The sequence below is a fragment of the Homo sapiens genome, chromosome 6 (genome assembly GCF_000001405.40).
Source record: "Homo sapiens chromosome 6, GRCh38.p14 Primary Assembly".
Classification (NCBI taxonomy): domain Eukaryota; kingdom Metazoa; phylum Chordata; class Mammalia; order Primates; family Hominidae; genus Homo; species Homo sapiens.
In genome coordinates this window covers 12184940-12212392 of record NC_000006.12, presented here as the reverse complement: position 1 = coordinate 12212392, position 27453 = coordinate 12184940, and the positions used below count along the sequence as shown (strand labels likewise).

General features: G+C 39.3%; 1 protein-coding gene across 3 annotated transcripts in view; it reads right to left on the bottom strand.

Annotated features, from left to right (window-relative positions):
• Positions 1-344: 344 nt before the first annotated feature.
• HIVEP1 (HIVEP zinc finger 1) overlaps positions 345-27453 on the bottom strand; it is a 204356-nt gene continuing 177247 nt past the window's right edge. For all 3 annotated transcript variants that reach the window (XR_007059258.1, XR_007059259.1, XR_007059260.1), the window contains 2 exons: positions 13099-13172; positions 345-459 (listed from right to left, as the gene is read on the bottom strand). The gene's annotated coding sequence lies outside the window, so the exon portion shown is untranslated. The remainder of the gene's footprint in view (positions 460-13098; positions 13173-27453) is intronic.

The following is a 27453-nucleotide window of genomic DNA, read 5'->3' as shown; positions in this document are numbered from 1 at the left end:
TGGGCTCAAGCCATCCTCCCACCTCAGCCTCCTGAGTAGCTGGATACAGGCTACTGCACCACCACCACTGGATAATTTTTGTATTTTTTGTAGAGATGCAATCTCACTATGTTGCACAGGCTGGTCTTGAGCTCCCGAGCTCATGCAATCCTCTTGCCTTGGCCTCCCAAAGTGCTGGGATTAAAAGGGTGAGCCACCACATAGAGTCTTTAAACAATTTTGAGAAAATATTTTTAAATTAGAAAGTTTCTAGTACGAAGTCAAATGTCTCACTTCTAGCAGAACAGAAGTTCTGACAACACTGGGACCACATTGCCACTTGGCAATCACCTACTTTACCTGAGAAATACCTGTGCCCTCCGGACGGGGCATGTCTTCTTCAGTTTGCCAGAGGTGCCATCACTCTTATTGTTCTCCCAACAAGGAAAGCATTGGTTGCTATATATCATCTTGCTTGCCCTGTAGTTTAAAAAAAATTTTTTTTAGGGTACAGAAATATTTCTCCATACCATGTGGAAAGGCTCAAGGTAGACTGAGAGGATTGAATGAGTCTCCTCACATCAGTCTCAACCACGGAAGTTCCTCTTGACTCCTGAAAGCATTTTACTTTGCAATATAGGCTTAAAGTGACATCTAGAATGATGTTCACCATGGACCAAACTAATTTTTTTTCCTTGGGGAGATGTGATTTTGTGGGATTTGTTAGTTTCTTCTTTGCTCTTTCCTGCATTACATGATATTTCTTTATGGTGAAAATGCATCATTTTTAGTTTTCAAAATCGGGCAATACTAAATATATAGACACACACATGGATGTATGTATGAATATACATATGTGTTTATATAAATATATGTATGTGTATACATAAATATCTATGTTTATGTTGTGTGGGTGTGTGTGTGTGTATATATATATACATATATATATGATGGAAAGTGGTGAGGGAAAATTATTCAAAGTACTCTTTTTTCTTTTTCTTTTTTTTTTTTTTTGAGACAGAGTCTCGCTCTGTCACCCAGGCTGGAGTGCAGTGGCGCGATCTCGGCTCACTGCAAGCTCCGCCTCCCGGGTTCACGCCATTCTCCTGCCTCAGCCTCCGGAGTAGCTGGGACTACAGGCACCTGCCACCACGCCCGGCTAATTTTTTTGTATTTTTAGTAGAGACGGGGTTTCACCGTGTTAGCCAGGATGGTCTCAATCTCCTGACCTCGTGATCCGCCCGCCTCAGCCTCCCAAAGTGCTGGGATCACAGGCGTGAGCCACCGCGCCCGGCCTCAAAGTACTCTTATAAGAGAGAGGAGTACAGAACTCTTGGAGACAGTCTATGTAGCTTCCCCTGAGTTAATAAATCAAGATTTTCCATTAGTAATCTTCAGATACACCTCTAGGGAGTCTCCCACATATATATGTAAAAGTAAATGTGACTCATAAATGGGGCATTCATTTATCGGGCATTATGACTTTTCAGGATTTCTAAAACAGCAGCAGAAAAAAAAAATGATTTTTTTTAACACCACAGAAGGAAAACTTCTTAAAAAGTGAGATCTATTCCAGGGGAAACCACATCCAGATTTGGGAGCTGTTTCTTCTTTTTTTCTGTAGAAAGACTGATGAGGAACTTCATCTGAATCTATAATGAGGTTTCAGTTAAGTTGTATTTAATCAATCTTCCTGGCAGTTGTGTTTAATTTACAAAGGTGTATCATTTCCCCCCTTCAAATTATTCAATTCAGTCCCCAGACGCTGTCTCCAACATACTGCAAGCCGGGAGATGATGAATGAGCAGAAGGAGGAAAGGTAGCAATTTCACAGCTGTTATACTTTCAAATCATAGCTTTTCACTAGATTTTTTTCTATTTTTTTAAAACATCTAACAGCATTATTGATGGCTTTTACATTATAATTGACCCTAGCAACTTTAAACTACTCTAACTATGCTGAAATAGGTAATCAATAAGGATCACAAAACACAAAAGCAACCAAGATTAAAATCGAATATTTTCAAGAAATTATCTGCTTCAAAATTATACCAGCGAATCAAAAGCTCTTTCTTATCTTGAAGGCTATGGTGAGAAACGTAGGGAGTGTTTGGACGGAGGCATAACGTGCTTTGTAATCCAGTCTTTGCATTTCATTTCTGCACTTTCTACCTTGCAGATTGTTTTATCCATTCCTTCCCTGGTTGGCTGAGGAAGGGATTGTGCCTCCCACAGGGTAAGGACTGAATCATTGGTAACTAGTAAATACTAGTTCACATGTACCATAAACTCCTTTTTCTTTTTTTTTTTTAAGACAGAGTCTGGCTCTGTTGCCCAGACTGGAGTGCAGTGGCACGATCCTGGTTCACTGCAACCTCCATCTCCTAGGTTCAAGCGATTCTCCGAGTAGCTGGGCTTACAAGCGCCCACCACTACACCCGGCTATATAACCACCTTTCTGAAAAGACAAATCTTTCTTTGTCCTGAATCAAAGTTTCCCTACAAGCTTTATCACTGCCTACTCTGCTTTTAGAGGAGTTCCTTCACTCCCACAATATATAACAAAGAGGAAAGAAATCAAACATTTTTTAACCACACAGGAATATTTTTATTTTAACCATGAAGTAATTCATATATTAATTAACATAATTAATTAAGCTATACTACATTAAGTGTATCTATGCATGTATAATGAACCAATACACGTAAAGCACTTAGTATCTGGCACATATTGCTCAATTCACATTAAGTATTATGATGATTATTATTAATATTTTCATTCAACAAATACTTCTTGAGTTCCTACTACATGTCCTGTACTATCCCTACTGTGGGGCATATATCAGTGAATAAAACAGACAAAAATTTCTGCCTTCATGGAGCTTACATTCTAATGAAGAAGTTAAATGTTTAAATAAGTACATTATATAGGGTGCTGGGAGGTGATAAGCCCTCTAGAGAAAAAAATTTTTTGTTTTTTTGAGACGGAGTCTCATTCTGTCGCCCAGGCTGGAGTGCAGCGGTGCTATCTGGACTCACTGCAAGCTCCGCCTCCCGGGTTCACGCCATTCTCCTGCCTCAGCCTCCCAAGTAGCTGGGATTACAGGCTCCTGCCACCACACCAGGCTAATTTTTTACATTTTTAGTAGAGACAGGGTTTCACCGTGTTAGCCAGGATGGTCTCGATCTCCTGACCTTGTGATATAGAGAAAAATTTTAAAACCAAGGAGGATAAAGAGTGCTGGGGGATGGTAGGAGGTGGATGGTTTGTAATTTTGAATAAGTGGCCAGAGGAGACCTGCCGAGAAGGCAAGATGCCAGCAGACTTAAAGCAACCAAAGGAAGGAGCCAGGAAGGTATCTGAAAGAAATATGTTCTAGGCAGAGGGAATGGCACGTGTGCAGAACAGCGAGGAGGCCAGAGTGGCTAATGCTGAGGGAAAACAGGCAAGAAGTAGGAGATTAATCCCTCTGCATTCTATGAAGGAAAAGGTTGCATAAACGCAACACCCACTGTATTAGTCAGATAGGGCTTCAGTAACAAACATCACAGATGGTGCACCTTAGGCCACAGAAGTTTATTTTCTCACTGTTTTGGAGGAGTCTGAGATCAGGTGTCAGCAGAGCTGGTTCATTCTGAAGCCTCCCTCCTTGGCTGGTAGATGGCACCTTCTCCCTATGTCCTCACATGGGATTCCCTCTGTGTGTGTCTGTGTCCCCCTCTCCTCTTCTTCTAAGGACGCCATTTAAACTGGATTAGAGCCCACTCCCAGGATCCCATTTTAACTGAATTATCTCTTTAAAGACTCATCTCCAAATACGATCATACTCTGAAGTACTAGGGTTTGGGACTTCAACATATGAATGTGGGGCTGGGTGACGCGGTGCAGCACGGAACACTCAGGGTAACTTTTTCTGTGGCCGCTCATACTGTGGTGGAACCGCCCTGCAAGGAGGCTTCCTTCCTACTTCGCGAGTCTGGTTATGAGACTCCAGTATCAGGTGACCCACTGCTTCACTTCCCTTCTATGGGAATTGCTTAACTGCATATACTTCCTGACTGCTGTCATCAAGGTTGCAAGGGTTCCCAGGGCTCATCACAGGGCGAGTTTGGGGTGATGAGTCAGCTGTACAAAACAAAGTCATCACCAATCTTTTCCTGAGAAATTGCTCAAAAAGGGTGAGGTGTTAGGTGCTACAAGGCATGTAGCTAAGTTAATGAAACATGTAAATCAACAACTACCAAAAATTAACTACTATTATCTATGGAAATATCAACATGAATGAAGCATTGACCAGAATAATCACTATGAACTTTCCTTCTTTCAGATAATAAATTGCTTTTTAAGAAGTAAACTGTCTATACTCTTTATTAAAATTATTTTTAGGGAGCATGGCCCTCAGAAGGTATTTCTGAAACTGGTATAGTGAGTGACACAGCTGAATTCAAAGCAAGGTCTGATTCTTCCACATCCATGATCCATAAATCTAGATTTTTTTTTTTTTTTTTTGAGACAGAGTCTCAGGCTGGAGTGCAGTGGTGTGATCACAGCTCACTGCAGCCTTGACCCCCTGGGGCTCAAACAATCCTCCAACCTCAGCCTCCAGAGAAGCTGAGACCACGGTCATGTACCGCCACACCTGGCTAATTATTATTATTATTATTATTATTTTGTAGAGACTGTTCTTGCTGTATTGCCCAGGCTGGTCTAGAACTCCTGGACTAAAGTAAGCCCCTTGCCCTGGCCTCCCAAAGTTCTCGGATTTACAGGTGTGAGCCACCATGCCCCGCCAAATCTAGATTAATTGTGAGGTAGAAGGTATCAGACCTTCTGCTGGTGGCCCCGCTGGCTTCTGAGGCTGTTTCACAGCAGTTACAGGGAAATTTGACAGGTATTTCTAGCACAGTGTGTAAACTGCAGGAATTCAATAGCAATTATAGGTCCTTTTTTTCTATTATTAACATAGGGAATTTAAATAATCTAGGAGAAGAGATCAAGGTTAAGAGAAAATATTGTGTGATCATGAAAATTATATTTATTGAACATTCATATGCCACTATACAAACATTTAAAAAATGAATAAAGATGGTTCCTGACAAGGTCTTTCCAATAGCTAAATATGGTTAAATCCATCTTCAGCAGGCACATTACTTTTCATCATATATGCTAGGGAAATCATTTGCAGGAATTAAGATCTTAGGCTGAAATGAAACTATGCAACGGGCAATCAAAACGAGGTGCCTCACCAGACGACCCAGGTGCCAGCAATCTTAACTCATCAGGAATGATTTGTCTGACTTAAAAACTCAGCAGAATCAGAACAGATTTTTTTAAATGCTTCTGAAACTTTGATGTGACATTTTTTCCATAGGATCCAATTTCCTCGTGTTGTATTTGATCAATGTTGGCAACCCCCTAGGTTTATTAACAGACAGTGTTGACAGGTTAATTACAGGAGGAAATTAGCACACATCAGAGACCTAGGTGATCACTCCTACTCGCAATCACCCTTCATTGTAAGTGACTTGCTGCAGCTTCTCACCCACTCCTGGGGCAAAGGGTTTGGACAACATAGAAACTGCACAAAACCCAGCTGCCTTCCCTAGGGAAGGAGTCTAGCACTGTGTCTTCACTAGACATTTGGCAAAGGCTTCTTTGAGTGCATAAAATATTGAGGATAACTAAAGACAGCATTCTGGTTCCCTAGGACTGCCATAACAAAGCACCACAGACTGGTTGGCTTAAACAATATAAATGTATTATTTCACAGTTCTGGAGCCTAGAAATCTAAAATCAAGGTGTTTGGAAGGCCACGCTTCCTCTAAAGATGCCAGGGAAGGAGCTATTCCAGGCCTCTTTCCAAGCTTCTCAAAATTCCTTGGCTTGTGGCAACATAACTCCAGTCCTCATGTGGCATTCTCTCTCTCTTTCTCTGTCTCTCTCTTTCTCTGTGTGTGTGTGTTCAAATTTCCCCTTTTGGATGGGTGTTGTAGCTCACGCCTGTAATCCCAGCACTTTGAGAGGCTGAGGAGGGAGGATTGCCTGAGTTCAGGAGTTCAAGACCGGCCTGGCCAACATGGTGAAACCCTGTCTCTACTAAAATACAAAAAAATTAGCCAGGTGTGGTGGCGGGCACCTGCAATCCCAGCTACTCAGGAGGCTGAGGCAGGAGAATTGGTTGAAATCAGGAGGTGGAGGTTGCAGTGAGCTGAGATCGTGCCACTGCATTCCAGCCTGGGTGACAGAGCGAGACTCTGTCTCCAAGAAAAAACAAAAACAAAAACAAAAATAAATTTCCTCTTTGTACAAGGACACCAGTCATATTGGATTAGGGCCCATCCTAATGACCTCGTTAACTTGATTACATTTCCCTGTCTCCATATAAGGTCACATTTTGAGGTACCGGGTATTAGGACTTCCACACATAAATTTTGGGGCGGACACAATACAACCCATAATACACCCTGTTACTATCTAATTAATGATGGCTCCAGCAGCTGAGATTGCAGAGGAAAGAGGCAGGTGCCACGCTGTATGCTAAAAATATGGGTTTCAGGGTCACATAGACCTGGGTGTGGATCCTGACCTGTTCATCTATGATCTGTGCCCTTAGGGAAGTCACTTGATTAATTGTCCAAAAGCAGTTCATAATTATCTAGTACATTTTAAGTGATTTTTAAAAATCCATTCATTTTGTACACTTAACAAATATGTACTTTACAAATATTAATTTATATAACCCTTATAACGACTCAAGGGGTAGGTATGGTTGTCACACAGAAGGTGCACAGAAGTTGAGTAACTTAACCTCAGTCACACAACTAGCAAGAAACAGAGGCATAATTCCAAAATAGTAGCCTTGCCCAAGACCCGAGGACTTAACCACTGTACCGTGCAGTAGATCATGCCCCACGTAGCTTTGTTCAAATTTTTTTTTTTTTTGAGATGGAGTCTTGCTCTGTCACCCAGGCTGGAGTGCAGTGGCGCAATCTCGGCTCACTGCAAGCTCTGCCTCCCGGGTTCACGCCGTTCTCCTGCTTCAGCCTCCCAAGTAGCTGGGACTACAGGCGCCTGCCACCAAGCCTGGCTAATTTTTTGTATTTTTAGTAGAGACGGGGTTTCACCGTGTTAGCCAGGATGGTCTCGATATCCCGACCTCAAGATCCACCCGCCTTGGCCTCCCAAAGTGCTGGGATTACAGGCATGAGCCACCGCGCCCAGCCGCTTTGTTCAAATTTTTTTACTGGCTTCCCATTTGACTCAGAGGGAGAGCCAGGTCCTTAGAGTGGCTTATGAAACTGTAGGAGACATCACCCCTGCCAGCTGTGTGATCTCATCTCTGATCACTTCCCCCTCAACACCTCTGCTCCAGCCAAAACACAATCCCGAACACACAGGCGCTCTCTGCCCCAGTGCCTTTGCACCGGTTGTTCCCTCTGGCTATCATGCTTTTCCCCCAGCTTTCATAGGACCTGCTGTAGTTCTCTCCAGTGCCCCCGTGTCATTACATTTTTATGTTATTGATTACCTCCTGATGTCATACATGTTTATTGTTTGCTTACATATTGCTTCTCTCCCTTCACCCCACCGGAAGCTTCATGAGGATCATGAATAATATAAGTTTTAATACAGGTAATGCAAGTAATTGGACACTCATGAGCTTCAGGAGTCTTTGTGTGTTTATTCACTGCTGTAATTCCAGCACTTAACATGCAATAGGTACTCAATAAATAGTTGTGAATGGGTAAGTGAATTAATGAATTAGGTGACTATTACTAGGCCTGGTCTGTAGATCATGCTCAATAAATAATGACTGCAAATTTTTTTAGTGTGGAAACCAGAAGTTACTGAAAATAGCACAGAATGAGGTTAAAAACCAAAGGTTCTTAGTCGGGGGATTTTTTTTCTTAATATTTAGGAGATGCATGTTGCTGAAATTCACCATGCACCAGGCTTGGGCACAGTGCCTGGGATATAAGAAGCACTCCGTAGATGAGGGTTGAGGGAAGCGGGGGAAAGGGAGGGAGAAAGGGGAGGATAGACGGGGAAGGGAGGAAGCTTGAACACCTGCTATGTGCTGTGCAGGGTGCCGTGGTGCTGGCAACACAAAGATGAAAAACTGGGCTGAGCCCAAGAGAAACTCTGTGTCTGGTAGCTGGGAAGTGTCCTATGATAGACAGTGCAATATTACAAAGCCACTCTACTGGGTGTGTCCATCTGACTGTCTGCATGGAAGTGTCCTCAGAGTGCTTCCATTCTTCATTCCTCACTTATGAGGGGAAGGGATTTTCTCTGAACCCCTGAACTTCACAACTTCACTTTTTCTTTTTTTTTTTCAGATGGAGTTTCACTCTGTTGCCCAGGCTGGAGTGCAGTGGTGCAAACTCAGCTCACTGCAACCTCCGCCTCCCAGGTTCAAGTGATTCTCCTGCCTCAGCCTCCCAAGTAGCTGGGATTACAGATGCCTGCCACCACACCCAGCTAATTTTTGTATTTTAAGTAGAGACGGGGTTTCTCCATGTTGGTCAGGCTGGTCTCCAACTCCTGACCTCAGGTGATCCACTTGCCTTGGCCCCCCAAAGTGCTGGGATTACAGACGTGAGCCACTGCACCTGGCCTGAACTTCACATTTTAAGCCACAATTGTACCAAGATCCACGTGAAACTTCTTAGACATGAGTGACCTTCTGAGACATTTTCTATCCTCAGTGATACAGGGTAGATTGCTCAGCCTAATGGCAATTCATTTTCTCATTGCCTTGCAAAAGTCTAGATAAATTATTTTCTGAAGGACTTTTTTTTGTCTCTTCCTGCTGTTCTTAGCAAAGAAAAACAATAGCTTGCCAGGGACTCTGGGTGCCCATGTCACCTCTATAATAATAAACTATCACATGGAAAGGCTGGCAGAGGCAAACTCACTCACTCCATAGGAAATGCATTTTGGCTTGACAATTCCAAATGTTTCAAAGAAAAATAGGCCAAACTCAGGTTATAATGTCTGACTAATGAAAACTATGCCGACTGCCACTCTTCACTGGTGTGAAACCAGAGCCAGTGTTAATGGGTAACCGTTCACAGGGATCCTTCGTCTACCCGACCCCAGCATTCTCCTGTGGAATGTCCTTATCAGCATCAAAAGTCACCACATTCCATACGGATCTTTCTGGGACAGGGAGTGTAAAGCGAAGCTACCATATAAGGTCATTTCCAGCTGCCACAGTGCTGTTTTCAGGGGCAAAGCTCCCTGTGTCAGATCCTTCTCCCACCAAATCCAGGGCAAGATGGAGACACTTCTTCTGGGATAACATAGTTTAGAGTCCAACCACAAAATGCAGAAATGAGCTGTCACTAATGATGTCTGACATCACTGTGCATTCAACATCTGAAAATGTTTGTCCTTTTTTGGAATCTAGAAAGCCAACCCTTTGGGGCACAGTTCACAAATGCACATTCTGTGTTTACATTCATTACAGACTGTGGATTTCAGAAGGTGTGCCCTATGATGACTTAACTTTCAAAAACAATTGAAAGAAGAGGGAATTCTGATTTCTAGGTAGCTTTCTAGTGACTGTAACTCTTCTGACACGTGGCTAATGCTCATGCTACAGAGGATGGGTCAAGAGAAGAGAGAATGGGAACCAGCACCCATAGTGTTTGAGGTAGGGGGTGGGTGGGTTGAATTTACCTTCCTTGGAATATGTTTTTAAATTTAATATCAAAATGAATTTGCATTCTTGGGATATGTACCAACTCCTTGGTTTATCCAACCAACATTTATCTGTCATGAAAGGACTGGAAAAAAAGAGAAAAGGAACAGGAAGAGAAAAAGTAATCCAGAAATGTCCTAAACGAAGTATCAGGGGATAATTAAGAATGGATTCAACCTAAAATAGTCATTTTTCCATTTCCAACAAGAAAATCAGAAATGCATTCCAAATTATGAAGTAGAATAATCTCTCAAAATAACAAAATATGGGTCTGGCGCAGTGGCTCCCGCCTATAATTTTAGCACTTTGAGAGGCCAAGACAGGAGGATCGCTTGAGCCCAGGAGTTTGAGAACAGCCTAAGCAACAAGGTGAAACCCCATCTCTACCAAAAGAAAAAAAAAATTAGCCTATAGTCCCAGCTACTTGGGAGGCTAAGGTAGGAGGATCACCTGAGCCCCGGGAGGTCAAGGCTGCAGTGAGCCGTGATCGCACCACCGCACTCCAGCCTGGCAACAGAATGAGACCCTGTCTCAAAAAATATATAAATAAAATAAAATATAGAAGAAAAGAGTCTATGATAGAATGCAGTAGAAAATTAAAATTTGTCCTATGTAGTATTTAAAGTCGTTTTAATTCATTTTATTCTTAGGAAACTAGAAAATACATGTTTTTCCAAATCACTGAACTGCAGAAAAATAATTTCTTAAATGTAGAGGGAACCATTCTTGTAATAATGGGATGCATTTGGATTTTTTCCCATTTCCTTTTATCCTCCAACTCAGCAAAAGCTTATTTTAATGGCATTCTCATGAGATCCCCATACATAGCCATAAAACCAACCTATACTGTTTTCAAAAGACATGTTAGAAAGGACCTACTAGAAAAAAACTTTTTCAAAAGAAACTTTTAATATTGGATATACATAAGAGTTATTTTTTCACTCCCCAACTAAACTTTTTGCAAGCATCCCTTAATGAAAACAAAATACGATGAAAATAAATCTGAGAGTATACAATCCATAGAACAGAATTAGGATCAAAAGAGAAGAAGATAAAATAGGTTATCAGAGAAGCCTATTAGCAGCTTCTCAAGTCATTGGTGAAAGCCGAAATTGTAAGTATGGAATCCAAATTAATTCATCCTGGGATTCTCCAATACTACAGACCGTGCCTTATACATGTTCAAAAAAATGTTTTGTTTTGTTTTGTTTGTTTGTTTGTTTGTTTGTTTTAGATGGGTCTCCCTTTGTCATCCAGGCTGGAGTGCAGTGGCACAATGATGGATCACTGCAGCCTCCACCTCCCAGGCTCAAGTGATCCTCTCACCTCAGCCTCCCAAGTAGCTGGGACTACAGTTGTGTGCCACCACATCTAGCTAATTTTTGCATTTTTTATAGAAACGGGGTTTCCCCATGTTGCCCAGGCTCGTCTCAAACTCCTGGGCTCAAACGATTCGCCCACCTCAGCCTCCCAAAGTGCTGAGATTATAGGCATGAGCCATTGCAACCAGCCTTGTTTGATTTTAAATAAAGAGAAATAAGATTTTAGAGAAAGAAAAGCATGTGTTTGAAAATGCCTAGATTAAGAATAGAACATGAGAAGACCTATATCATTCAACCATGATTTATTGGCCACCTACTAGCTTCCCTTCTCTGCTCTAGGCTTGTAAACTACCAGGTCTCAAAAGAATGATGACACATTCAATCAATGGTTCAGTATTCATCTGTAGGTTCATGCTTCTCAGTCTGGGCTAGGCATGACTTAGGTCAAGTTGTGTGCCAAGGATTACATAAGGCCAAAAATGAATATGAAACATTTTTCTGCAGTGCTCATTTTATGTCAAGAATTTGGGGGGAAGGGTTATTAAAACAATGGTGATATTACAAAGTAGAATGCAAAAGTCGTGTAATTTTTAAAATAAAACAAAAAGATTTCAAATATATTCCAGGCATGAGGCAGACTGTTTGAAGCTACCTGTTTATTCCCTTTGGCTTGAGAGATGCTTTGGTGGAAAGTCTAAGAAGCATATCTCTGGGTCCCTTTAAATGAATCTGGAATGCACAGTGGAAGTGCTTGCAGGATGCATAAAAGAGAGCTACCTCCAATAATGGCCTTCTAGACTCCAGGCTCTAGGCTTTTTCAAAGCCTGCCCCACATTAGCATGGTTTTGATGCAGGGCAGGCAAGCCCCAAAGTGGAGCTTAGGCCACAAGGGTACTTAGCTTTGCCCAGGAAAGAATTCAAGGGCAAGCTGGAGGTAGAAGAAAACAGCTTTATTGAAGCAGCAGTGTTACAGCTCCATAACTGCGCCTGCAGAGCAGGGCTACCCCATAGGCAGATAGTAGCAGTTCAGGGCAGTCTTGCAGTCATATTTATGCGCAATTTTAATTGCATACAGATTAAGGGGCAGTTTATGCAGAAATTTCTAGGGAAGGGGTAGTAACTTTGGAGTCTTGCCATGGAAAGGGGAAGTAACTCCCAGGTGTTGCCATGGCAATAGTAAATTGACATGGCACACTCCTGGGCTGTCTGATAGAAAGCTGCTTCTGCCCCTGGCCCTGTATTTGCTAGTCCTCAATCTGGTCCGGTGTCTGAGCCCAGCCTCTGGAGTCAAGTCCTGCCTTCTATCTCAGTTTGACTCAATTCTCCAGCAGTCTTGGTCTCCATCTTTACAACATTTCTCATCTCTTAGTCCCCATCTCAAGCCTAGACTTCAAAATCAGAATGGGGATTCCCAAGTCCAACTTGGTCCATCTTCTCTACTATCTGAATACTGAAGGTAAATGGGTTTCTGTGCCCCACCACAGACAGGGCAGCACCCAGCTTCCTGGGAATGGTGATGAGACCAGCACAACCCTGATTTAGGTAAGCAAAGGTTAGGCTCTGTACTAGACATTCTACGAGAAGGGCTGGATGTGCACAACATATAGCTTTTATGTTTTCCACTTGTACAACATATAGATTTTATATATTCCACTCAAATACCTGACATAGTACACTCAAATTGTCTCATACTAGGTACAGAGAAGAAAATGTTTGTTTTTAAAAATTGATTGACAGTGGCTTATGCCTGTAATCCCAGACTTTAGGAGGCCGAGGTGGGCAGATCACCTGAGGTCAGGAGTTTGAGACTGGCCCGGCCAACATGGAGAAAACCCATCTCTACTAAAAATACAAAATTAGCCGGGCATGGTGGTGGGCACCTGTAATCCCAGCTACTCCGGAGGCTGAGGCAGGAGAATCACCTGAACCTGGGAGGTGGAGGTTGCGGTAAGCCGAGATCACGCCATTGTCCTCCAGCCTGGGCAGCAAGAGCAAAACAACATCTCAAAAAAAAAAAAAAAAAAGGATTGACAGTCATTACAATGAAAAGGCAGGGATTAGTCCGTTCTCACATTGCTATAAAGACATACCTGAGACTGAATAAGTATGCATCAGTCCTGTGTAGTGACTGGTGTCCTGTCTTCTGGTAGGTTCCAATGCCATTCTGTTGGAATAGATGTTAAATATGATTTGAACCAGGAAGGTATAATCAAGGTAATGAAGATGCCATGAACAAATAAGCAATTATGGTTTTAATAACTGTTACAGACTGTAAGGACCTTGACCACAGGAATCATTTCTTGTCATCTTTGGACTCCTGGCACAGTGACTGCTGCCTGCAAAGACATCCAGGCTTTGACCATTTCTCACTGCCTCCATTGTGACATCCTGGCTCAAGCCACCAACACCTCTCCACTGTGTTAACACGAGAGCTTCTTAATTGGTCTTCTTGCGTCTGTCGTTGGCCTCTGTGATGGTTAATTTTATTTGTCAACTAGGCCCAGATATTTGGTCAAACAGTATTCTAGATACTTCCGTGAAGGTATTTTTTTTAGATGAGATTAACATTTAATCAGTAGACACTGAATAAAGCAGATTGCCCCAGAAGCGTTCTTTCCCCGGAGATCTGCATGGTTCTCTCTTTCATTGCCTTTGAACTGTTGTTGCCTCCTCAGGAAATTCTTCCTTAATCACTATTTAAATCTCACATGTACTGTGCTCTCCACCAGCACTCTCATCCTTATTATGCAGCCTTGTTTTCCCCTGTAGCACCTGTCACCTTCTAACACACCCTATCATTTATTTATTTCCTATGGGGCTCTCCTTACCACTACAATGTAAGCTGCATGAGGGAAGGGGCCTTTTATTCCCAGCCTGCTAGAGGCACTCAGTACTTATTGAATGAATGAATGAATAAATAAATACCTTCTGCTCCCAGGAAAATTATTACTTATATGTTCTCTTTGCATCTTCAAATTTTCTCCTTTAACTTTTCTGTCAGCATTTAAAAGATCTGCAAGATTCCCCATTTTAACAAAACCAAATAAGACAACAAAGACCAACAATGAACTTTTTTCTATGGTTTTATTCTTAGTTCTCTATGCTGTTCATCTTATACCATCTCCCTGGGTGACTTCATCAAGACCCTGGTTTTCAGCCATGATATACTGATGATATCCATATAAAGACGTCCATATGTAACGACCATATAGAGACTATGGTCTCTAGCCCAGCCTGCTCTTCTGGAGTTGTAAGTTCAGGCCACTGACTAATATGCATCCTCTGTGTGCTTCACTAGCATCTCAAACTCAACATTTCCAACATTGAGGCCAATAGCATTCTCCTAGTCACCTATGCTTTTAGGCAGTAGCCTGCATGTGACACCCACGTCCAGCCAACTGGTCCAAGCCAGAAACCCAGGTTCCCTTATACCTCCTCCCTCTTCCTCACCCCCAAATCTAAATTTCTATGACATTCTTTCCATTTTACCTCCTAAATAGCTTTCAAACCCATCTGTTTTCAGGGGCCAGCTCAGACCCTCACCACTTTTTGTTTCTATGACTACCCATCACTTTAACAGTCCGTCCTTCCTCTTGTCTGTTCTCTACCATCTTAATTCATTATGGCTGCCACAAGTGATCCCTCTGAAATGCAAATCAGATCCTGCCATACCTCAGCTTAAAACCCTTCCTTGGCTCCCACATAATTCATAAGACAGTCTAAAATATTCTATGATACAAATCTAACCTACCCTTCCCACCTTGTTTCCTGCCATCTCCCTTCTGCTCTACGGTTTTCTTTTTCTTTTCTTTACTTTTTTTTTTTTTTTTTTGAGACAGTCTCTCACTCTGTTGTCCAGGCTGGAGTGCAGTGGCTCGACCTCGGCTCACTGCAACCTCCCAGGTTCAAGTGATTCTCCTGTCTCAGCCTCCCGAGTAGCTGGGATTACAGGCACATGCCACCACACCTGGCTAATTTTTGTAGTTTTTAGTAGAGACGGGGTTTCGCCATGTTAGCCAGGCTGGTCTCAAACTCCTGACCTCAGGTGATCTGCCTGCCTCAGCCTCCCAAAGTGCTGGGATTACAGGTATGAGCCGCTGCACCCAGCCTCTACACTTTTCCCATGTCAAAATGAACTCAGCTCCCCACACTTCATCCCAGTAGTCGTTCTTGCCTTCATTCATGCTGACACTCTGCCTGGAACTCCCAACTCTCTTTTAATTGACAAGGCCAGACATACTTATTCTTAAAGACTCTCCTCATGTGACTTCCTCTTCAGGATGATTTAGAGACTCTTTCTTTGAGGTCTCACAGCATCACACATGGTGCCTCTACTAGCATCTATTACCCTGAATTGAAGTTGATTTACTTACTACCTCCATCTTTCTAAACTTCACATTTTTTGAGAGCAAGGAATGTGTCTTTATACATTTTTTATTCCTCATTCTTAGCTCAGTTTCTGGCATAAAGTAAGTACTCAATAAATCTCATTTAATTGTAATAATGATTTTCTTGTCAGTTCCTAGCATAGCATAAAGCTAAATAAATCTTAGTTAAATGAAATAAATGGAATGTGACATGCCGGGCAGCTTGAGATCGAGTGAGGCAACTTCACTGAGAGCCTAGGAAGAGGATTCTAACATGGGGATGGCGGATGAAGGTTCCTCTTCTGTCTCTTCGGGGGCAATATGTCACAAATGGAAATCACAATTCAGAGCTGTAACTGGGGTCGCAAATGATGATGGGAAGGAAGGAAGGATTTTTGAAGCAGGAAGTTATGTCAACAACTAACCTCACATCACCCTAATGGAATTTTTCATTTGCATGGAGAATAAAAGAGTAGTTATTTGGAGATATTCCAGAGCTGTGGGATAGAGGCAACAGGATCAGTGGCTACAGAGGAGAACTTGAATGCATGCCAACGAGAATGCCTAGTCCACACCCAAGAACCCTTCTGGAGTAATGATAGAAATGGAGAAACTGAGATTCTGTTGGCTGAGGGCTGAACTGCCAAAGATGACTTATAATGTATATATACAAATTCATGGATTAAATGTCTAAATAGAACATACCTCTTATTGGAATTCCATTGACATCACTTCTACTAGAGGAAGCTTCTCAACCACAAAGTAGAAGAGGATGTATACAACCGTCTAAGTGTAGGAACTGGTATAAAATTGTGTGATCAGCTAAACATGGGAATATTATTATTTTCTCCAAGTCACTGGTCACATATTTCAATACAAAAAGGTCAAGGACAGGGCCCCTTGCCACAAGACTGAGGCTTCCTTTTAGTTTGACATCAATAGGGACCAGTGGTTCCACATACTACTAATTGGTCTGATTGTCATCTAGCCTTAGTTGCAAGATTATTACAAAAGACCTTATCAAATGCCTGGCTGAACTCCCCTTACCCTGTGTTTATGGTAGTGGGCTTTATGAAGTTCTGCAAAGGTGAACGGATAGTTATTCTGGTAGATCTCTGAACTTCTGTCTTATCCAGCAGAGTAGTTCTACTAGAAACTTCTTTATATATTCAGATACAGGTAAAGATCTCAATGAGTTTTATTTTAAGTACATAAACCAGTTATCTATGGCATCAACCAATTTAGCAATTTGATTTAAAAAGGAAACTAGGAGAGTTTAGCATACTCATGATTATCGTACACAGGTTGGTTCAGAGTCACCATGATTTCCTTTCTGAGGACAACCAGTAGTTAAATTCTGTATGCCAGCTTTTCTGCTTATAAGCTATATCACTCCCAGGCAAGTTACTTAAATTCCTCTTAGGCCTCAGTTTTATCTGTAAAATGTGTATAGGACCAGTTAATTGTGTTATTGTGTGGGTTAAACTAGATGTAAAATTGTAGAGGAATCCTGGCATATTGGAAGATTGTTTTTTTAATTAATCCATTCTAAAATTTTTTTAACCGCTGACATCTTGCCTGCATGTTGCCTGGGTATCTACACAAGTCAGAATCCTTATTTTCCCCATTTTGAAATCAGAACATTTCCCTGTTTTAATCTGGCCACTCTTGTGTTCTCTGTTCATGTATTTATCTGCATATATTTATTGAGCACTTACTCTATACCAGGAAATGTTCTAGATGCTGGAATACAGCAATGAATGAAAGAGATCAGACCCATGCTCTCAGGGAACTCGTCTAGTAGCTAGATTCGTCCAACTTTGGAACCAGTCAAGTGCCAAAGCCTATCAATGATTTCATGACCAAGAAATATAATTTATCTGGAGTCAGAGATGAAAACGTATTTCTAACAACTTGATATTCTCTTAAGTATCCTTTTCTATCTTGAATTCAGTTTTTCTTGTGAGGAAATTTCATCTCTCTTTTCTAGTTTGAAGATCATTCCTCTTTATAGAGGACAAAGACAAAATAAGAATTGCATAATTTGATTTTCTTTATATTAATATTTTCCCAGCTTCCCCTGGCAGTGTCTGTCCTTTTTGGCTCTTCTTTGTGCTCTGAATGTAGCTTTCAAAGCCCTTTGGCTTCCTCTACCTCATTCTGTTGTAAGAGTCCTGACAACAGCTACTTATGTTTTTTGTTGTTTGTTTGTTTTTGAGACACAGTCTCGCTCTGTCGCCCAGGCTGGAGTGCAGTGGCGCGATCTCTGCTCACTGCAACCTCCACCTCCCAGGTTCAAGTGATTCTCCCACCTCAGCCTCCCAAGTAGCTGGGATTACAGGCACCCGCCATCATGCCTGGTTAATTTTTGTATTTTTAGTAGAGACAGGGTTTCAGCATGTTGGCCAGGCTGGTCTCAAACTCCTGACCTCAAAGTGACCCACCCACCTCGGCCTCCCAAAGTGCTGGGATTACAGCTGTGAGCCACCGCGTCCGGCCTGTTTGTCCTTTGTGGTAGGCTCTTTGTAATCTGAATTTATGAATAAATATCTGAGTTTATCAGAGACCTCCTGGTTGGTCATAATGGTCAGTGCTGTAGCACTCCCTTTACTTAATTTAGTTATGTGGTAGATTCTCTCTCTCTCTCTCTCTCTCTGTACTCTCCTTTAGATCTCTTCCTGAAGAACTAAAATTTTATAACTTCCTTCCTAAAATCTGATATCATATAATTCCCTAGACCTGTGCTGGCCAATGGTAGCCACATATCCAATTATAAATTTTCTAGAAGTCACATTATACAAGTAAATGAAATAGGTAACATTAATTTTAATAGGTTTAATTCAATCCACTATTTTAAAATATTTACATTTCAACATATAATCAATAAACATCATTAATGATATACTTTGCATTCTCTTCTTTTTGTTCTGAGTCCTCAAAATCACATATGTATTTTTGAACATCTCAATTCAGACCAGCCCCATTTCAAGGACTCAATTGCCACATGTACCTACTTAACACTTCTCTAGACCCATCATGCAAAAGCTATTCATGCTACCTATTATTTCCTTTTAATATTGAATTAATTGTTTCTCATTAAAGCTTTTGGTTAGTAAAAACTATGAAAAAGAATTAAAATCCCTTAAGTTCTAAAACTGAGCCAGTTTGAAGTAGTATTTGTCGTATTATGCACTCAAGTCTGTGACTTTTGCTTCGTCTCTTTCTCATAACTTGCATATTAATGCACCTAACAATATATTTGAAATACTTAGCACCGTAGTAGGGGGTCACTAAACATCTCTGCTTTCCATTGCTTTTCATCTGTAGTGTCTTAGCTTGTCATTAAAAAACATAGCGGATTAATTGAGCTTTAAACGATATTCCACAAACAAACAAATTGCAAGATGTTTGATCTCATTAATAAGCAAATAAATGCAAAATGAAAGAACAATTGGGAGCCATTTTAGCCTATTAATTTAGCAATTTACTTTTAAATGACTACATCTAATGAGGATAAGACCTTGAAAACTGTTTTTCTGCACACGGTTAATGATATTGTCACAACATTTTAAGAAAACATTTTGACAATATGAGTCAGTAGTGTTAAAAATATTTATCGCATTGATTCTGTAATCATCCTTCATGGAATTTATCCTAGAGAAATTATCAGTGATATTGACAATAATATTCATATGGAATGCTTTCTTCAGAATTATTTATGAGAGCAAAAAGTGAAAACAACCTCACTGTCCAAAATGGGAAATAGGATAAGTAAATTACACTATGTTCATTAGGCAGCATATTGACTAAGTATTGAAATTATAATAATGAAAAACTTTCAGGAATAATAAAAATATAAGAATAATATGTTAAGCAAAAAGCATATAATTAAATTACATAGGCCAGCTGCTGTGGCTCACGCCTATAATCCCAACACTTTGGGAGGCTGAGTAAGCCTTATAACAGCTCTATAAAATTACCACTATTATTATCCCTATTTTGCAGATGAGAAAACTGAGGCCCAGGGAGCTTCTAGTCACACAGCTTCTAAGTGGCAGATGCAATAATATTAGGTGATGAGCTTACTGTTTGAAGTTACATGACTGTGTGGGACTAACATTTTTTAAATGTTTTACAAAACATTTAGCTGTATTGTAAAAAAAAAAAAAGTATGTTTCAAAATAGAACTTAAAATGTTCCTGTGTTACTCCAATCTCACATTGCTATAAAGAACTACCTGAGACTGAGTAATTTATGAAGAAAAGAGATTTAATTTACTCATGGTTCCACGGATTGTACTGGAAGCATGGCTGGGAGGCCTCAGGAAACTTACAATCATAGAGGAAGGGCAAAGGGGAAGCAAGCGCGTCTTCACATGGCGGCAGAAGAGAGAGCAAAGAGGGAAGTGCCACACACTTTTAAACCATCAGATCTCATGAGAACTCACTCCCTATCACGACAACAGCAAGGGGGAAATCTGCCCCCACGATCCAATCACCTCCCACCAGGTCCCTCCCGCAACACTGGGAATTACAATTCAACATGAGATTTGGGTGAGGACACAGAGCCAAACCATATCAGTTCCCAATACAAAAAAATTATAAATGCTTGAGGTGATGGAAATACCCTAACTTGATCATTACACATTCTATGCATGTAATGAAATATCACATGTACTGCATAAATATGTACAAATATTGTGTATCCATTTAAAAATTTAAAAATATGTACTTAAGAGAGGTGAAAAAATTACACACACACACACACATTTCTATGAAACATACAAATCAAAGAAAAATACTGAAGAAAATATCCAAAAATAAAAATAATGGTTCTATATGGGTAGTGGGATGTAGATTATCTTTTGGATGAACCATATTCCATGTTTTAAAAAGAAATATTGTAATTGATTTAAATCCTAAAATTAATTTGTACACTTAAGAAGTCAGTCATATGATATGAAGGTGTTGCAGAAGCATAGTTAGCAATTGTCTAGTGGCCCAAGAGAGGACTGAGATCCTGGTTCTAGCCCCTAATTAGCTGTGAGAATGGAACATACTTTATCATGTTTTCTGGCCTCAGTTCCCTCATCTATAAAATGAAGAATAGAAGTAAATGACATTATATATTTTTCAGGTCTAATATTCTATAATTTTACAAAAGCACAGGCCAAAATGATCTCTATTGTGTTTTCGTAGTGAGCATCAAATGAGATAACATTTAGGAAAGTAGTTTAAAATATGAAAAGCATTACCATGTTACATTGGTTCTATTATTAAAGTTCAGCTCTGTAACTACACCGTGTATTGGATTTTGGCAAAATTAATCAAACGATATTGACTATTGATTTCTGGACATATTTTATTATGTTCTTTTTATTTATTTTAAAAATTGTATTCATTTTTATTTTTATTTTTATTTTTTTTAGACAGAGTCTCACTCTGCTGCCTAGGCTGGAGTGCAGTGGCACAATCAGGCTTGCTGCAGCCTTGAACTTCTGGGCTCAAGCAATCCTCCCACCTCAGCCTCCTGAGTAGTTGGGACTACAGGCACACACCACGACACCTGGCTAATTTCTTTAAAAAGTTTTTGTAGAGTTGGGGTCTCCCCGTGTTGCCCAGGCTGATCTTGAACTCCTGGGCTCAAGCCATCCTCCCACCTAGGCCTCCCAAAGTGCTGGGATTAGAGGTGTGAGCCACTGTGCCTAGCCTATTGTGTCCTTTTTAGATTGGTTGACAACGGACAATGTTTTAACAAATCAATGTAGACAAAGTAACAGTGCTCCTAAACAAGTGTGGTTGCTCTGTATCTTGAATATATTAGCTTACCTCTTAGTTTACTGTTAGAATGCTATTGTGAGAATTAGACATTTTTTAGAATTTTTAAAATACTATTACTGGTATTATTAGCCCATTTAGTAACAGCCAAAATTATATTTTTCTGTGCTGTTTTTTTTTCTTATTTGGTTATCAAAACTTGGAGATTGTCAAGAAATATGCATATGCCAGCTGTGCCTGGAAGTTCAGCTTAGAAAGCAGTAGAAAATATTTGGCATCTTGAGAGTTTTAAATACTGAAAATCAGGGCCATATTTTTACACCCATATACCAATCAGTAAGACATTTATTCCTGCTAACTTGTAATACAAACTTTTGGTCTTAAATGGGTGAATTAATTTATTCAAGAGATGTTAGCATTCCAACCCAGTTGCAATGTGTCGGGTACTCTTACAGGTGTCGACAAGAGAATAAAATAGAAATGGTAACTCAAGGAGTTTACCATCCTGGGGAGGGGTGTGGAAAAACACTACAAGAGCCAACAGATAAAGAAATTGAGTATGAAAGGAAGGAATTAGGTGCCACAAGAAAAGACTAAGAAAAACGGGCTCTGTGTTAGAGTGGATGCCTAAGGAGGGTCTCTCTGAATGGGTGACCACCAAAGCCAAAAGAATAAGAAAGAGAGGGAGCCCGATAATGCAGAGTTGGGACAAAAGAGTTGCAGGCAGAAAGCAAGCAGTGCACAGGCTCCAAAGCGGCAAAACTGACTTGTGCAAGGAACTGAGAGAAGGTCAATAGAGTTGGAAACTGCGGAGTGAGAGGAGGTGGGAGGAACAAGGTGGGATTTAAGAAACGGGAATGAGCCAGTTCAAGGAGGGCCTGAACCTCTGGAAAGAAACTTTTGTTCTGGATTCAACGGAAAGCCACTGAAATGTTTCTACCCGCTTATTCAACTTTGAACATTTTTATTTTCTATTTTTAAAAATGATACATATGAACGGTAAATAATTCAAAAGGAACTAAAGGTTTTATAAATAGAGTGAAGATTCAGCCTGTCCCATTTCTTCCCGTTCCTACTACTCCCAAGTCCTGTATCCAGAAGGTACAAATGTTGGCAGCATAAATCTGCATAAAGGATAAGAGTAGAGATGTGTGCATACATATTTATAGTTTTTCTGAAAAGGTAGCATAATATACACATTGTTCTACAATTTGCTTTCCTTTTTACTTAGTATATTTCAGCAACATATCAATACAACACAACACAACACAACAATACAATGTAAGTAGCCTTACTATTTTTTCTTTCAGTGACTCCATAGTATTCCATTGAAGGCATATCTTACAGTTTATTGAATCTCTTCCTTATTTGGCCATTTAGCTTGCTTCCAACTTTTGCTGTTACACATAATGACATAAATATCATTGTTCACATTTTTCCCACATGTGAATATGTCAATAAGAATAAATTCCTAGAAATGGAATAAATTCCCAGAAATATGCATTTTTCATGTTTGATAGAAAGTGCCAAATTGTTCTCCAAATTGGTCAGACTAATGATTTTACTGTCATTAATAGTACATGAAATTAATTATTACTCAATATAGTCCTTCAAATAGTGCACAAACATTTTTGTTGTTGTTAATCGTTCGTGGAAAATGGATACTGTACAGAAATTCCAGTTGACATTTCACTTATGAATGAGGTAGAACATTTTTCAAAGATGCCAAATTCATTCACATGTCTCTTCCTATGAACTATTTCATGTTTTTGTTCATTTTTCCTTTGAATTATTGGCCTTTTCTAATATTTTCTAACAATATGTAGGTATTTTATCCATTTATAACTCATTTTGCATGTTGTATTTTTTATCCATGCAATTTTTAAAAAATTTCTATGTCATCAAATTTATTAGTCTTTTTCTATAGTTGCTGAATTTTGTGTAGTGTTTAGAAAGTGTTTTTTTAACTCTCATATTATTAAAAATAATTATCCAGTCTTTTTACTGGTATTTTCATGATTTATTAAACATTTAAAAAATATTAAATATTTAATCAATCTGAAATTTATTTTGGTGAAAGGAGTAAGGTGGGGTTCAAATTAATTTTTCTCTTGATTGGCTGTTAAAACACTCCACCGTTATCTACTAAATGAATCATCATTTCTCTAGTGATGTGAAATTCAAATATTATTATACACAAAGTATACATTCAACATATATTTATCTATTTTTATACTCTGTAGTTGTGCCCATTTATAGGGATATATATTTGTCAATAATAAACTGTTTTATTTCCTATAATATTTGGAGTACGGACAGGAACAGTTTATTAATCTTTCTTCAGAATTTATTTGTTTTTTCTTGCTTATTTATTTTTCCACTGAACTTAGAATTAGTTCACTTAATTCCAAAAGCAATTTTTTTCTCTGGTATTTTTATTGAGATCACATTAAACTTGTGATTTAATTTTAAGAAAATTGAACTTTACAATATTGAATCTATCAGCTCAGGAATAAGGCATACCATTCTATTTGGATAATATTTTTATGTTACTCATTAGCATTTGAAAACCTTATATAGATCTTATATATTTCTTATATTTATTTCTTGTAATCTTATAGCTATTATAAGTGGTGTCATTTTAAGTTCTGATTTTGATATAAGTAATTAACTGAATTTTGATATTAGCTTCGTATCTTATCAAATTCACTTGTTTTTATGTTTTTCATGTGTACAATCACAGAATCTACAAATATCAATATAGTTGCTTCTTCCTTTCCTACTTTTCATTTCTCTTTTTTTCCCCTGGCTGTCTTATACATGGTGGTGGTCCTAGAAACTTGTGTGTGTTTGTTAAGAAAGTATCGATCTATTCATGATTTGTTAATATTTTTGAAAGCTCAAGGAACATATCTAAAATCTCTATAGTTTCCATGAAGATGATATGATGAATTTTCACCTTTGTAACATTAATATGGTAAAACAACAGATTGTCTAATATGGAGATATCATTGCATCACTGGTATGAACCCCATTTGGTTGTGGCTTGTCATTTTTTAAAGATGCACTTTGGTTTGATTAACTAATATCTTATTTATGACATTTATATTGTTATCCATAAGTGACAGATGATCTTAACTTTTATTAACTGAAAATATCTCAGACTTTATTTTTAAAGGATAATTTTCTAGATGTAAGATTTTAGGCTGATAACTCAACTCTTTAAAGATGCTAGTCCCTGATAGGCTGTCTTGTATTGCTTTTAATGAGATGTTAGTAGTCATTTTCTTAGTCTGTTTGTGCTGCTGTAAAGGAATACCTAAGACAGGGTTATTTATAAAGGAAAAAGATTTATGGCCAGGCATGGTGGCTCACACCTGTAATCCCAACACTTTGGGAAGCCAAGGCAGGCAGATCACTTGATGTCAGGGGTTCAAGACCAGCCTGGCCAATATGGTGAAACCTCATCTCTACAAAAAAATTAGCAAGGCCTGGTGGTGCACACCTGTAATCCCAGCTACTCAGGAGGCTGAAGCATGAGAAACACTTGAATCCTGGAGTCAGAGGTTGCAGTGAGCCAGGATCATGCCACTGCACTCCAGCCTGGGCAACACAGTGAGACTCCGTTTAAAAAAAAAAAAAAAAAAGATTTATTTGGCTCATGATTCTGATAGCTGGAAAAGTTCAGGATTGGGGATCTATATCCAGCAAGGGCCACAAGCTGCTTCCAGTAATGGTGGACGGAAGGCAAAGGGGAGCTGGTATGTGCAGAGATAACATGGCAAGAGAGGACGCAAGGGATGGGTGAGGTGCCAGGCTCTCTTTAACAATCAGTTCCTGTGCAACTAACAGAGGGAGAACTCACTCACCACCCCACAGGGAGGGCATTAATCCATTCATGAGAGGTTTGCCCCCATGACCCAAACACCTCCCATTAGACCCCCACCTGTAGTATTGGAATCAAATTTCAACATGAGGTTTGAGTGGGACAAACATCCAAACTATAGCAGTAATTTTTACCTTTGGAAAATGTTCAGCCATTATTTTTGCAAATGTGTCCTCTGCTCTGAACTCTGCTCTCCTTCTATGACCCCGATTACCACTTGATAATATTTCAACCAACCACTGAAATTCTTCATTTTTAAGAAATCTCTCTTCTCTGTATTTAAATTTAGATTTTCTCTTGCTCTATATTTAAGTTTTCTGATACTTCCTTCTGCATGTTTCAATCTGCTATTCAGCCCATCCAGTGAATTTTTCATTTCTGACTTTTTTAGTTCCAGATTTTCCATGTATTTAATTTATATAGTTTTGATTTCTCTGCTGAAATTCATCTTTTCGCTAAAAAAAAAAAATGCTCATGCTCTTCTTTTAATCCTGAAACAAATTTATAATACTCTTGGAAAATTTCTATTTCATAATTTCATCATCTGGGTCATCTCAGGTCTGTTTATTTCAACTTATTTTCTCCTGGGTATTTGGTCACATTTTCTTGCTTCTTTGCATGTCTAGTAACTTTCATCGCATATGGGATATTGCAGCTGCTATGTTGCTGAGAGTTTGGATTTTGTTGCCTTTCTTTAGTGTTGAGTTTTATTCTGGCAGGCAGTTAATTTACTGGTGAATCAACTGACTTTAGGCTTTATTAGGTAGCATTTACCGTATGGTTAGTATACGCCTTTTTTTTTTTTTTAACAATTTGATGGTTTTAGTGAAATTATAGAATTGTGTCACCATCACCACAATCCTGTGTAAGAACATTTCCATCATCCCAGAAAGTTCCTTCACACTGTTTCCAGTCAATTTCAATTCTTATCTTCAGCCCAAGACAACCACTGATCTGCCTTCTGACTTCATAAGTTTGTCTTTTCTAGACATTGCATATATATTTAATAGTCTTTTGTGTCTGGCTTCTTTCACTTAGCATTTTTTCTAGTTTAATACATTTTATTATTAATTATATGTATATATGTATTATTAATATGTATATATGTAATATTAATACATATGCCAGTAATCATTCTACTTACTTGCTGAATATACAATTTCATTGTATGGATACACACATTTTGTTTATCTGATCACTAGTTGATGAAAATTTAGATTTTTACTTGCTTTTGGCTATTATAAATAACTGAGTTTACAATTTCATTATATGGATACACACATTCTGTTTATCTGATCACTAGTTGATGAACATTTAGATTTTTACTTGCTTTTGGCTATTATAAATAATGCTGTGGTGAACATTCATGTACATATCTCTGTGTAGATATGTTTTTAATTCTCTTGATTAGATTTCTAGGAGTGAATTTGCTAGGTTGAATGATAAATTTTTGTATAACATTTCAATAAACCAGCAAAATGTTTTTCAAAGTGGATATACCATGTTCATTTCCATCAGAATGCATGATGGTTCCCATTTCTCCACATCCTTGCCAACACTTGGTATTCTTGTTTCTTATTACAGCCACTCCAATGGGTGTATAGTGGTACATAGGCCACTGGTGTTTCAATTCACATTTCTCTAATAACTACTGGTATTGAGCAAATTTTCATGTGCTTATTAACCATTCATATATGTATACCTTTTTAAAATGAACTCTCTAATTCAAGTCTTTGGCTCACTTTTTAATTTGGTTGTCAGTCCTACTTTTAAGGTGTGGCTTTTCTGTGATTTCAAAACAGAATGCCTGAGGTATTACGTGAAATGACTCCACTCTGCCAGGTCAGAACGCCAGTGCCCCTCAGCACTGTGGAACCTGCAGTGTCCCAGTTCAACTCAGAGCCTCTTATAGCCCTTCTCTGCCAGAAATCATGGAGTTTCACATGTGCATGCCAATGACTCAAAAGAACCTATATGCAGATTTCTAGAGCTACGCTTCCGTGCAGCTTTTTCCTCTCTGGATATGCCTCTTCAAAAATTATAGCTGCGTCAGTGGCCCTGAACTCTACTGTTCCCTCCACCCAGCAAGACCACTGCTGTCAATCTGGGTGAACGCCTTACACCACAGTGTGGAAAGTGCCCCAGGCAGAAAGCTAAAGGCAAGGTGTGTCTGCCTGCCTGTGATTCCATCTTGAATGGACAACAGCCCTTTGTGGTAAGTTGTCCAATGTCTGAAAACAGTTACTTCATCATTTTTGTCCAGTTTGAGAGTTCATTACTTTTCAGTAGCTACATTCAAAACCTGTTATTTAGTCATGTTCATAATCAGAAGTCCCTTCCTTTTTAATATAAAAATGTTTCTTTCAGAAATTTTACCTCTAAATATTCATTGTGTGTGTGTACACATGTATGAAT